The 14,277-nt window shown below is 33.6% G+C and overlaps 1 protein-coding gene across 11 annotated transcripts in view; it reads right to left on the bottom strand.

Annotated features, from left to right (window-relative positions):
- PTPRC (protein tyrosine phosphatase receptor type C) overlaps positions 1-9,666 on the bottom strand; it is a 118,764-nt gene extending 109,098 nt beyond the window's left edge. For 7 of the 11 annotated variants that reach the window (NR_052021.2, NM_002838.5, XM_006711472.5 and 4 more), the window contains exons 1-2: positions 9,242-9,339; positions 9,038-9,153 (exon numbers count right to left, since the gene is read on the bottom strand). Coding sequence is in view for 10 of the 11 variants with exons in the window: in NM_002838.5 (NP_002829.3) it covers positions 9,038-9,110 (73 nt within the window). In the remaining variant the exon portion in view is untranslated. Of the gene's footprint in view, positions 1-9,037; positions 9,154-9,241; positions 9,340-9,592 lie in introns of those variants that run through there. The other 4 variants (XM_047426381.1, XM_047426398.1, XM_047426409.1 and 1 more) reach the window with 1 other exon arrangement.

Below are 14,277 nucleotides of genomic sequence, written 5' to 3'. Positions count from 1 at the left end.
CTACAACTCTCATTTGCTATTAGCTGGTGACCTTGGAAAATTAGAAAGACTACCAAAAAAAAGTAAGAATTTGTTTGTGTGCTGTGTATTTCTGTATGTTTTCCCTTTTCTCTCCACATAAACATTTTTTCAGAATAAATTACAAAACAAACAAACCAAAACAAAATAGGACTATTGTCTAGTACCTCTTCACATCTACCAACTTTATTTATTGAATATCTAATAATAATCTACACAACTCAGTGGCAGCACCAGAACTTCCATAATTTAAAAGTCTGCAAAGAAAATCTGGTTGTAACAGGGACCTGGAGGAAGTCTTGTAAGAATATAAGTTTTACTTAATATGTTATATATAGATCTTAAGATAGTGATTTTTAAATTTATAATTTATAAAACATTGATAACACCAATAATTATCTGTAGCAAGGTATGTTGTTACTTTGAGGAGGAAGTTTTGGGGTGCTGATGAAGATTTTGGAAGATTTAAAACACCATCTCCAAGAAGCCACTGATAGAAAATACGGGCTTCATGGGATAGGTGTCCTCAGCCCAAATTACATGGAAAACACTCACAAAATAGTTGTTTATCAAATGAACTAATAAGTTAATAAATAACTGAATAGATCTAGTTGTCCTAGTCAAATGAAATACTCAAAAAGTTTTTAGATCCTGAGAACTGGAAACCTGAAATTCTTATTTTTCTATTCATTTCTATATTTTTCAAATTGTCTAGAATAATCAAGGTTTACTTGGGAAAAAATTGAACATGAAATTTCATACACAGCATGTGATCAAAAGATAGAGGAAGAAAAACAAAATGTTAGCATGGGCTCTAAGCAATTTCTTTTTCCTTCTATTTCTTGACATTTTCCAAATTTTCTATTATGTAGAAATTTTTACCATAAATAATTCCCATAAATAACAATAAAAGGACAGAATCAAAATTGTTTTTAAGAATTATTAAGTGCCTTCTACATACAGAGTTGGGTTAAGCTGACAGACCATTCGTTTGTTCAGCAAACAGGTACTGAGGACCTGCAGGCACTGGCAAATAAGCAGAGACCCAGTGATAGCCTACATGAGCTCACCAGTTGCTGCAAGAGAGCCTGGTAAAGAGAACTCCAAGAGAATTATTCAAAGGATCATCACAGCAGAAGAATACCTATGCAGGTGTGAAAGGGGCTGAAGAGCAAGGGTTATACAAGTGGGATAGGGGCTGTCTAGAGGACATGATCTTTACAGTAAATTTGAATACAATTTATAATTTGCACCATTGATAAAAAGATGTGGAGAGAAGGAAAAACAGCATGGCCAACAGTAGGAAGACCAAACAAGGTCACATTTTTAGAAAAATGCAAGTTACAAAAAGAGTCACAAAGTGGTTAGAGATAAAGCCAGACAAATCTGAAGAGATTCAATTACATATGTGTGTGCAATGCTAATTGCTTTTATTTTTCCTAAATGCACAAAGACCAAAGTAGGATGATTTGACACTTTCCCCACACACTATTTTACATTGAGAAGATTTTAAACTTATCACCTTGATTCTTCTCTTTACTTTTTGCTCCAATAATGAATAAGAAATTGGTACTAAGTGTGAAAGCTAATAAGAGGAATACCATACAAATGAATGAGAATTCAAACATAATAATTCCAGGCTATCAAGCAGTCTTAAAAGTGTTTCTAAAGTTTCTATTGGCTAGATAAGAAATAATCGAAAGTCTTAAAATTTCAAAATGAATCTAGCTCAAAGAGCTGTCAATCTCCACATTAATGTCACTGATAGAAATTTCAACACAACAAAAAATTGAGAATGGTTAATATTGCCCGATTTAAGTTTGACAAAAATGAAAAATTACATAAATTATATTTTTTGTAGCATTGAGACACAAAACCAATTAAAAAAACTAAACTAGCGGTAGCCAAAACTACACACAGAAAATGTTTCTGGCCAAAGAGAAGAATTTAAATGGTTTTGGAAAATTTAGATCTGTATTGTTTGAAAAGAAGAATTACCTTTAGAAAAGTAATAATCACAAAGGAAAATTCCAAGCATAAGCTATATTCAGTAGAACTTGACATGGGTAAAATGGATTCATGAATCTAATAGTTATTGTAAAAATTAAATGAAAGTGATGCTGCTAAACATTAGTTCAGTAAAATTAAAATTAAAATGGAAAAACTGCCAAGGATTTCACTAGGTAATATATATATAATCATCAGGGAATTAAATTGGTCTAATGGAGTTTTTTTCCTCCAAAATTTATCTTTAAGGAAAACTCATAAATGTTGGTATATTCTAATTAAATATTTGTTTTCATAAAAGTTGAGCCAAAACATACTTGGTATCAAATCACGGGTTCAGTATATTTTCTACCAATAGGAGCTTTTAAAAGAGGAATGGACAAAGGTAAGTTCTGCCTTTTACAAAGATTATCCTGGTAATGGTGGGTATGGACACAGTAAGGATTGAAGGCAGGTGAGACTTCAGGATATTTTTACACTAAGAAATCCCTGGCAAAGTAGAAGTGTGTGGATTTACAAACTATTTAGACTGTAGAATCTGGAGAAGCCTGAAAAATCTCTGAAATAAAGAATGCAAAGTTAAAAGAATTCAAAGGCCTATAAGGGATTATGCCTCTATCACTTAACCTTAAACTATCCCTTTATCTGCTCACAGTGTCTGAAAGGAAGAGATATCATTTGGAATCAAGTTTATGCTAAAAGGCTATGTGCTCTGATTTCATGGGCTCACATGAAAAAATTTACTTCTCAGAGTATCACATAATTTCAAAGCATTTTCACAAATATTATAACTTTTAATGCTTACAACACTTTATAGATGAGGAAATTGGGTCTCAAGGGTGAAAATTGATTTAGCTAAAAATCACAAGATTCATAGAGTTAGATTTTCAAAATATTTATCACTACAGATGTCATGATGTTTCCCAGCTTGGAGTGGTTTCTGCCTCATTTTCTATTATGCTTAATATGTTTTATCAGTAAATTATTATATTTTTCATCAAGTGGATGTGTTTAAAATATAGTGGCCACACTGTATTGCCATGATATTTATTGTGATTTTGATATTGTCTCTTAGCATCATTGTTATTTGTATAGGTTTCTCTAAACTATCTCTTGAATGACCACAGACAAATTGTACTTTAATTTAAAATGCAGAGAATGTCTTCTTGTCTATCAGTGATTTCTATCAAGTTTGCTATACCAGCTGTTCATATCCTAATACGTATGAGTGTGTTACCTGAGTTACCCTCAACTTTTGCCTTCTACTCCTACATTAGCAAATCCCTATTTTGGAGGGTGGATGGTTTTCTTCCAGGTATGCAAATTTTGATTATATTCTTAAATAAATGAATGATGATCATTTATACTTCAATATAATTGCATTGTAATTACAGTTTTATAATAAATACCCTGTATAGTAGAAACTGAAGTTTCAGTTAGGTGGCTTTTTCCTTTCAGACACTTGACTCATTTTTAGAGGAAATAAATATTGAATCTTTAAATACTATAGAGTTAAGCACCATAGAATATATTTGTTTAAGCTCGGTCTCTACTAAAATCTCTAATAAAAACTGATAATTTTGCTGATTGTCTGTTAAGAAATCAATCAATTGAAGGTACTATGAATGGATATAGAAGATGCTTGTTTACTTCACTAATATTGACTTTATGTGTATTTATTCTTGTCCTAGATGAAAGAGTAGGAAAGCTTTTGTTTCTCTATTTGTTCTTGTTTTTTGTTGTGATTCCTGAACATATAATTCTCTGCTTATAGTAGTCATTCCTAGACTCTTTTAACAGACTGATATTGAAGTAGCACACTGACATACAAACAGGAATGAAGATTAAATATTTTAGACAATAATTAGATATTTTCTAATATAAATATTGGTTAGAGCCAGGTACACAAAATCCAGTGATTGCCATAATTTTTATTCCTGTATATTTGGGTATTATATAGAAATAGGCATCAAATCATATTGCTAAAGTCTTGCCATATTTTTTTTCTGGTGTATCATATCTTAAAAAGTGAGGTCTTTATGTATGCAAAAGTCATAGCACTAAGCCTTTGGTAAAAGGCCACTGCTATGGGATTGAGTATCTAGTACTTACAAAGATATTTAGACTAGACAGAAATTAATTTTAAACTGAAGATATGTTAAATTTCCATTCTAATTGTTTCCCATGTAAATAACTACATAAATCTATAAGATGTCTAGAAAAAAAAATCAAAGGTCAGCACTGATGAAAAATTTCTCTCTCTGCACCAAGGTGACATATACACACATGGTCTGAAGATGAAACCTTGCCTTTGTGAACATTGTGTATTTACCAAGAGAATGAATCAACCTCAGTACAAATCTCTGCCCCTTACCTACTCAGATTGACATTCATCACCACACTGTCTGTAAAGAAATTATTCCCAGCTCTCTACAAACTTTTGTCGTGCAAATAATGCAACACCTAGGGTGCACCATATTCCATCTGCCCTTGCAAGCAATCCCAGAGCACTAGCATCAGTGTTCAAACCAGCAATTGCCATGACTGGACCTGATCTGTTTGTGTTATCACTCCGCTACATTTGTATTTCCCTCCCATTCCTTGCTTTTTCTCCTATGGGTATGTGTATCTGAAAAATAAAATTGACCCTCCAAATTACATTACCTAGAATGTCCAAAGAGCAGATCAAAGAAAATTTAGGAAAAACATTCTCAAACTATGAACTTTTAGGAAGTCAGGAGGCTCTTTCCAGACGAGAGGTGAGATAAGGAGAGTAAGAAAGGGAGCAAAGAAAAAACAAACAAACAAACAAACAAAAACAAAAAGGCAAGACTGTAAACATCTAGATCCAAAATCAACTTAATTTAATCTGGACAAAATAGTCCTGCTGTCTTCATCCTCCCACTTCGCCTCTGGTTAATTTTTTTATCTCATATTCTCCCTCTTTTTGACTTCCCTCTTTGAAAATTTTCCTTTCCTTTGTCACTACAATATGCAGTTTTATTTTTTTAATCTATGATTTATTCAGTGTCTGGTGAAAAATTAGGTATGGGAACTATGAGTTTATGCCTTTTGTGTCTCCTATACCTGATTTCATGTAGGTTACAATGTCAAGAAATCCACTAATTCACATGTCATCATCATCATCAATCATCATCACAAAAAAGAGCAGATTGAAATGACTTGAAAAATGCCAAGAAAAGGTGATAAAAAGTGTGCAATTCAATGGAAATATTTTGTGGCAAAAGTGACATAAGAGAACATAATAGAAGAAGTAGGATTTGCCCAGAACCTTAAACACCTTGAGAAAGTATAGAGGTGGGTGTTAAAACTACCTCCTGTTTGTTTTCTTTTAATCAATCATAGAAGAAAAAGAAAGAAAAAAGAAAGAAAGAAAGAAAGAAAGAAAGAAAGAAAGAAAGAAAGAAAGAAAGAAAGAAAGAAAGGAAGAAAGAAAGAAAAGAAAAAAGATCCCTTCCCAGCTCCAGGCCTAGCCCCCAGATCATTAGTGGAACCAGTTTCTCTGGCAAAAAAGATTAGAATTTATACCAAAGGCAATGAGAAGAAATCAGTAACCCTTCACTTTTTATTTTACTTTTTAAGCTGTAGATTACATTAAAAAAAGGATGAGACTTCAGACTGATTAAAAAAACTATTACAATTTTACAGGTGAGAAATAATAAAGCCATGAATTAAGATGATGGCAATGGAGGTGTCAAAGCAAGAAGTTATTAGAGATTATTACAAAGCAAAATTTCAGGACTTGGGGAGCATGTTAATGTCTGGATTTAGGAAAGGTAGTAAGTTCCGTGTTTCTGAGGGATGAGTCTAGAGATGGAGAATCAGAGTGATCAACACATAGTAGGCAATGATACGTAACCAAATGGAGAAAAGAGAACACAGGCGAAGGTCTGAAGTTCATGGGAACGCCAAATAGACAAACATGGAGAACTGATAGATAGATAGATAGATAGATAGATAGACAGATAGATAGATTGACTAGTATATATAACCCACAAATATATAACTAGTTTATGTGTGAGTATCTACATAAAGAAATATATGTTCAAGTATATGAACAATGTAGAAACATCTATATTTCTATACTGGTTAATTGTCACTGGTGAGAGGATAGCAAATAGTCCAGAACAAAGAAAGAACTAAGTTCAAGCTAACTACTCTGCCCCTATACTTACTTACACAGAACAAAAGAGAAAAAGATAATATAGGCCCTAGCCGTAGTCTTTCCTGTAACAAAGTACATTTCAAACTTTAGCAATGATAAAGGTCACAGGCAGGTTTTTAGTAGGACATTTTTTTTCAAATTAATAAGTAATTCTAATCACATTCCCAAATCTCTAAATTATGGAGTATTTAGAACTTAATAGGACTGCTTACCAAATTCAATTAAATAATTTTCATTGAATGTCTGTGATGTGCAAGGCACAGTCCATGTTTATAACATGAGATATATATTTTTAATACAGATGGAAAAATGAAGAATTATGTCCAGGAAATGAGTCTTAACTGTTATGACTCATAACAAAACTCATCATATACCTCACATACCATAACTCATATACTCCTAACTGCCATGCTATAGTGTGGTAGATCTGCCTGGCATTACAACTTTATTAGAACCAGAGAACACTCACCTTCACCTGCCTTCTTAAAACCATCATTGTCCCCTAACATTATTTAGAAATTCTAAACAAAGTTTGGCTTCCAGTTGCCATGGCAAAGAGGCACAGAGCAAGAGGATTAGGAAGTCTTGAGTAAAACTGAACCCTGCCTGGTTGTTGCCGTGGCAAAGATTAACTTTGGCCTTGTCCGTGTGTGCATTTTAGATATTAAATAAAATATTTGAATTATGCATAGAGTTACCATTGATGGCTCTCTACATTTGGCTCTATTTCTTTATGCCTTTACAGCATACAATATAAATTTTGTTCCCCAAAAGTTTATTATTTCCTGTAGGCACTAAACTAATTTTAACACGTTAAAATGAAACATAGAATCCAACTCATTTGTTGCTAAAAAAGAAAAATAAATAATTTAAAGCATTAAGAATTTTCCAAATTATACATTAAATCACAAAATGTTTCTTGCAACTTGAAAGGATTATAAACAATATTTGCAGATACAAATGATTATATCTGTATATGTTTTTCCACAAATAAGCATATATCTCAGGGAGTCTACAAATGTCTTTTAGAAAAATGTTTGCTCTCAATATTTATGTGAGCAACTGAAGATAAAGTTGAGTTTTCAAAATAAATTTATGTATATCCATTTATTTGCTATGGTATAAATCATTCAGCAAAGTTGATATAAAGGTTTCTAGACCCCATCATATTATTTCAATTATAAATTCAAAGATGTGTCTTATGGTTAAAAAAACATCCTGTAATAGAATGAGTTGAATTTTTATTCACAAAGGAAATATTTCACACTCTGATTTAAGCATATAATAGGATATTTGGTCTATTCAGGAGGTTGGGAAGTTTGCCTGGAATAAAAAGCAATGGAGCTAGACCTGAAGAAAATAATAGAAGTTAAATGAATATGAAGAGAAGAAAAATATTCTGGCTTACAAAATGTCTCAGTATTTCTTTATGCTCATTTAAAAATGCTTTTCGACATTTCCTGAGTGGGAATTTTAAATGAAAATCTGTTCTGATTTGTGATAATATACATATATCACTTCATTGAGATTATTATTCTTTATAATTTACTTTTTATTATCATAAGCTTTAAAGGGATGGTAACTTGATAAACATTTTCTGTACTAAGACAAATGCTGCAAATATATAGATTTTTAAAAAATTCACCTTTGCAATAAAAAGCAAAACAGCCACAACAACAACAACAAAAATCTTATGTTGTTTTTCTTTCCTCTTTCTTTCCTCTCCAAATAGAAATTGTCAATGTAACATGCTCAAGAGGTAGCTACTTCCCTGACTTTCAGAGGAAAGAAGAACGGTAAAAGTCAAAAAAAGACTTCAAAGTGAATTGTAATAAGCAAGTTGTTTTAAAATACTTTTTATACTTTTTGGAATTTCTACAAAAATTTTATTTTCAATGTCCTTTTAGATACTACATCATAAAGAGAAATATTAAATATTAATTATTAGTTACATTCTATAATCTATTGAAATGTACTCATGATTCATATTGACGCCGCTCAAGAACTATCCATTGAATAGACCATAAATGTGCAAAGATTTCAAACTTTAATAGGCACTGGAAGTCCAACTAGTTGCATTTTCCTACTGAATACAGCATTTGCATGATTTTTAAGAGTTTAAATATTTCTATCTCATCAAGGCTGTAATATTTACCCACCACCCAGGAAGGGCGGTGGCTCCACAAGAATTTCTAAAGCAAAAATGTATTAAAACTATTAACAAGAAACTAAAAACTTGATTTAAAATACATTCTGTGATAAAAATTGCAGAAAGTTAATATTTTACTAAATATCTCAATATATTTTTGAACTATTATATACCCAAGTATTCAATAAAATATGTCAATTAAATTCAAAATTTGAGGAAGCAAACTTCAGGTCTGAAAAGAGGGAGTGGCTTACATACAACCAAAGCTGTTTTATGACTTTTTAAAAGATCAAATTTGTTAAAAGAATAAAAACTCACTTATTTTATCATTAAAAAATTCTCAGGCTTTTATAAATGTGTGTTATTGTCACTTTGGAAGTTAAGTAATAATGTTGCTTTTGTAATATCTTTGAACAGTTGTAAATAAAGATACAGATAGACATTGCTTTCCTTTTAAAATTGTATTTTTTGTCCCGAAACATTTATGTCTTTGTAAACAGAAACAATGTATTCTGTCACACAACTAGCTATGTCTCCCTGAGACAACAATCTTGATGGTTTACAGCAGGCTTCTCACTTCCAGTTACCAACACATTTAAATTATTTTTATGTCTATTTCAAACATTCCTCCAAAAGAGAAAAAATAATTTAAAAAATATTAATATCCTTGTACTTACCTGTCACAAATACTTCTGTGTCCAGAAAGGCAAAGCCAAATGCCAAGAGTTTAAGCCACAAATACATGGTCATATCTGGAAGTCAGCCGTGTCCCTAAGAAACAGCATGCGTCCTTCTGAAAAGCAAAATAATTGTTATCTCTGTAGAAGTTTTTCTCTGTAAAAACGAATCAAAAATGTAAAAGTAAATAAATAAATGCATACTCTCCACTGTTGTCTTATCAGACGAGGAACAATTTCCTCCTCTGTTACCCTAAGAACAAACCACTTGCTAGCTGCATGAACTGCTAGGTGATGATGTCAGATTCGGTTTTACTAACTTCTCCAAAAATACTGTAAGGGTCCTCTTTGCAGGAAGTCAAAAAAGTTGTTCTAAGTCAGTAGAATGGCATTGCACTTCCTTAATTCAAGTAATTACACCAAGTTAGAAAGCCTTTTAAAAGATTTTCCCATCAAGGAAGATGTTTTTAAACCATCCAAATAATGCTCCTTTACAGTATCCATTACCATTTTTTTTAAATTAAATCCCCACAAAATAATCAATAATTTTCTTACTTAAGAGATGACAAACAGATTCAGCATAAGTATAACAAAATGGGTGTTGGCAAGATGACTTAGTAGAAAGTATCAATATTTGACTTACTGAGACGGCCAAATGAATGAAAAAACTACTAATCTGGTTATTTTTGGCAACCCAGTATCATTTACCATTAGGGCATTCAAAACTCAGCAATATGACAGTTTTAGCAGTAAAACCCATTTCTTATGCAAAAGCACTTTCAGACAGCTTAACAGTTTTGCCCCAAATCTTTCACAGATATCCTTGTGAAGCTAGGAGTGGAATCAGAATGTCATTTCTACTATAGTTACAGCAAACCCTGCTTCCAAAAACTAATGTTTCTGTGACTTAAGATGTTCTTGGCGCTACTGATGAGGGAAAGGACAGTGAAAACCAAGAGATACCTTTAACAAAAGTTAACTTGTTTCCTTTTTCTCAGCAATACTTTTTCAACTTTTTTAACAAATAAGACAATGAATTGTATTAACACAATGCTCTTCACCATTCTGATGTTCTTAGTTAAGTCCATCTATTAGGAAAATGCTTACTGGCAAAAAGTATAAATTCAACAATACAATTAGATGAATTGGTTTTATTAATACAATATCTATATGCCTTTAAAAATAAAAGTACACACATGTGCAACTCATTTATTTGAACAATAGATAATGCTTGGGGGACTTTTAGACAGACAGAGCCCTTGTGGTAATTCTGCAAACCCTAGTTTGGAAGCATTATTGTAGGGTTCTTATATTTAAGTAAATAAATCTTTTGATACTTACAAACTTTTTTGTTTTACTCTTACATTGGCTGCTAGGAACTACAGAGCCAAATTTCTATCACACTTTGTGCAAATGGAAATAACCCCACAGCTTAAACTCTAGGTAATAACCTTTTAATAAGATTGTAGTTAAGAATATTATTTTACTATGATTATTATTATATTTAACTTATGGAGCACTTACTATGTGCAGGAACTATGCTTTGCACTTTACATATATTGTATAATTTGTACGATACCCTTGAGCTAGATAATGTTATTATTCCCCATTTTATCTGTGATGTTCAGAGAGGTTAGTTGAGTTGCCTAAGATCTTGCAGCTAGGATGTAGACAAGCTATATTTAGAACCCAAGTCTCCAAGTTTAATTTTGCTTTCCTTACTCACCTTACTATTGCCCTTTATTTTTCTCATCCCTTTTACCAATCTTTTTGTACTATGTAAGTTTATAATACTCGAAAAGATAGACCTTTGAATCAGTGAAAATGAAATTATTCTCTTTTTGCAAATGTATTTTTAAATAAGATAACTGTGCAAGTAAGCACTAATTTTCATGTGGGTAGGCCTAATAAAACATCAGTGTCAGAACTCATGGATTTGAATACTCAGCTCCTCAGCCTATGTCTTAAAATACATTTGCAACAGAAAACTCTTTGGGGATTTGCTTTAAATATCTTTAAGCAAATACTTGTGTTCTGTGAGCTTGCTGTTATGGCAGAATATTTGGCAAAATTAGAGGCCAGGAGAAAAGTGTATATGATCTTTTAAAAGGAAGAAAAGTATATAAAATATACTCTATAACAATGTGAGTTTAGCAGCCTTAAACGGACATTTTAAAAGGGATTTGTGGCTTTAAAAAAATAGTAAGAAGTTAGGAGATTCAATTCCATTTCAGACAGGTGAGAAGACAGATTCTACCCAAGGAATCCAAGATAGATTAGCAACAAATGAGTTGCATTATATGTGTTAATCCAACACATATATAATGTTTTAACATATTCATTGTGTTAAAATTGAGTTTAGTGTCTATAGGAAATACTAGAATTTTAAGCAGCAAAATCTGTACTGTGTATTATAAAGGTGTAAAGACATACAGCTTGAAATACAGAGACATCAGCAGATGAATGTATATACAATTCTGATGGCTCAGAATGGAGACAGTGGCAACCCAGAGGTTTGTTAGCCTGAGGTCCAGGCTGTCAGGAGGGTAGGCAAGAGGGAAGGCCCTAGCAGCTTGTTAGGAGACAGAGCCAGGTTGTCCTTGATGGTATACTACACTAAGCCAGACATCCAGGAAGGACTCCGGGTAGCAGCTTGTCTTTCCACAGGGCATCTGGGGAAATTTCTACTGTATCACATACAGGCCTGGCATCCAAGCCTTCCGCTTGCATCAGCAGAAAACTCTCAAAGAAAACAGGAGGAGTATTTATGACATACTGATGTGATCCACTCTCACTGATTCCCAGAGGGAGGGTGGGCTGGTTGCTGATAAATGGGTATTTTGCAAAGAACAACTGAGTCTAGGAAATGGGCAGGAAGTAACACCAGATTTCATACATAGTAAATACAATGGCACTTGTTGAGTAGCTGAAAACAGTATGTATCCAAAGTCATCTCAAATTTTGATGAAGAAAATTTCAAAATAATCATAGTTAATCAACTTACAATAGATTTTTAAAAGCTTAAAAACTTAATATTTACTTAAATCAATAAAGTCATTTTCCAGATTTTTAAGGCTACCTACAGTAGAGGTTATATAAAGACAGAAACAGATTACAAGTTAACTACAGAGGCAGATGTTACTCATTTGTTCATGCATTCATTCACTCATTCATTCAACAAATACAGAGCAAGTTCCTAATGTAATCCAGTCATTTTACCTGACATGAGGAAAAAATGGTGAGCAAAAACAGGCATGCTTTCTTTCCTATCTACACTTTAGTGGAAGACACAATAATTAATTATCCAGTCATCATGACACTTTCATCACAAAGGCAATACTTCCACACTGTGATTTAAGCATATAATAGGATATTTGGTCTATTCTGGAGGTTGGGAAGTTTTCCTGGAATAAAAAGCAATGGAGCTAGACCTGAAGAAAATAAGTTAAATGAGTATGAGGAGAAGGAAAGTATTCTAGGCAGAAATAATAAATTTAAAGGAGGAGACTGTGTTCAAGGAACAGGAAGAGATGTGAGGCTGATGTAGAAAGAAGCAGAGCCTGGAAAATAAGGAGGTTTCAGAGGGAGATGATGGCCAAATCTTGCCAGGCCTTGCAGGTTCCAAGAATATGTATTTACCCTAAGAGCTATGAGGAAGTTATGAAGCATTATAAACATTGTTCTTGAATTTTCTTACCAATCGTCTCCATGTTGCCAGATTTTATACCATCATTTGTTTCTCTACCCTCATATTATGTGACTTCTTAGTAGCATTAAACAAAATCTTTCCTTCTCTAACCATTATGTTTTGTCAGCTTCCAAAACATCATTACCTACAAATTTAAATTTCCTTAACCCTTATTGGCTTTTCCTCAACAGTTGCCATATTGGGTCCTCTTCCTCTGTCTGCCCTTTTTGTCTCTTTGAGACAGTCTCAGCTCTGTCGCCCAGGCTGGAGTGCAGTGGCACGATCTCAGCTCACTGCAACCTCCGCCTGCTGGGTTCAAGTGATTCTTCTGCCTCAGCCTCCCCAGAAGCTGGGACTACAGGCACGCACCACCATGCCCAGCTAACTTTTTGTATTTTAGTAAAGATGGGGTTTCACCATGTTGTCCAGGCTGGTCTGAGCTCCTTGAGCTCAGGCAATCTGCCCACCTTGGCCTCCCAAAGTGCTAGGGTTACAGGTGTGAGCCACCGCTCCCAGACGACTTTTTTTTTTTTTTTTTTTTTTTAACCAGGGTCTCTCTCTGTTACCCAGGCTGGACTGCAGTGGTGCGATCAGGGCTCACTGCAGCTTCTACCTCCAGTGCTCAAGCGATCCTCCCACCTCAGCCTCCTGAGAAGTTGGGACTATAGGCGTACACCAACACACCCAGCTCAATTTTTTGTAGAAACAGAGTTTTGCCATGTTGCCCAGGCTGGTCTCGAACTCCTGGACTCAAGAAATCCACCTGCCTCAGCCTCCCAAAGTGCTGGGATTACAGACGTGTGGGCTACCTTGCCCAGTCTCTACCTAACTTTTAAGTACTACTAAGATACATTACAAGCTCAATTCTGTACCCACCTCTCTCTTTCTGTGTGAGCTCCTTCGTGGGAATAACTAACGAATTTATATTTCCAATCAGATCTATGATATATTTGAGATCTCTAGATTCACATTTTGCTACCACATTCTTAACTAGTCTACTAGATTGTCTCAGAGCCAACTCAACAGAACATAGAAGTCTTGACCCATCCTTTCTTTAAACCCATCCCAATTCTCAATCTTATTTATATCTGTAAATGCACCAGTATACACACAGTAACTTGCAACAGAAGCCTAATTTTTATTTTTTATTTCTTCTTTCCTGTTACAACTACTAAATCATTAACAAATCCCATTCATACTCTCTCCACCATCTATCTTGTGTTCTGTTTACAATTGTACCACTTAGAATCAAACCATCATCACTGTTCAGGCTTTTGACTAACTTCCAAGCCTCCATCTTATCTTCCTTCAGTATTTCCTCCAAAGAGAAATCAAACCGATTTCTGTCCATACAAATCAAGCTGGGATAAGTCCCTACTTAAAATCTATCAGTATTTTTCTTATTTGCATTTTTAATAAAATCCAACCTCTGTATTATTTCTCAACCCATTTAATACACTTCCACCTGGTTCACGTTATGATCTGGCCACACTGATTTTTTTCTATTCCTAGAAATGTCATGCTTTCCTATTTCAGGGCTTTAGCTCTTCAT

This window comes from Homo sapiens, chromosome 1 (assembly GCF_000001405.40).
Source record: "Homo sapiens chromosome 1, GRCh38.p14 Primary Assembly".
Taxonomy (NCBI): domain Eukaryota; kingdom Metazoa; phylum Chordata; class Mammalia; order Primates; family Hominidae; genus Homo; species Homo sapiens.
Note: the sequence above shows the minus strand (reverse complement) of the source record. Positions and strands in the feature narration are given on the sequence as shown.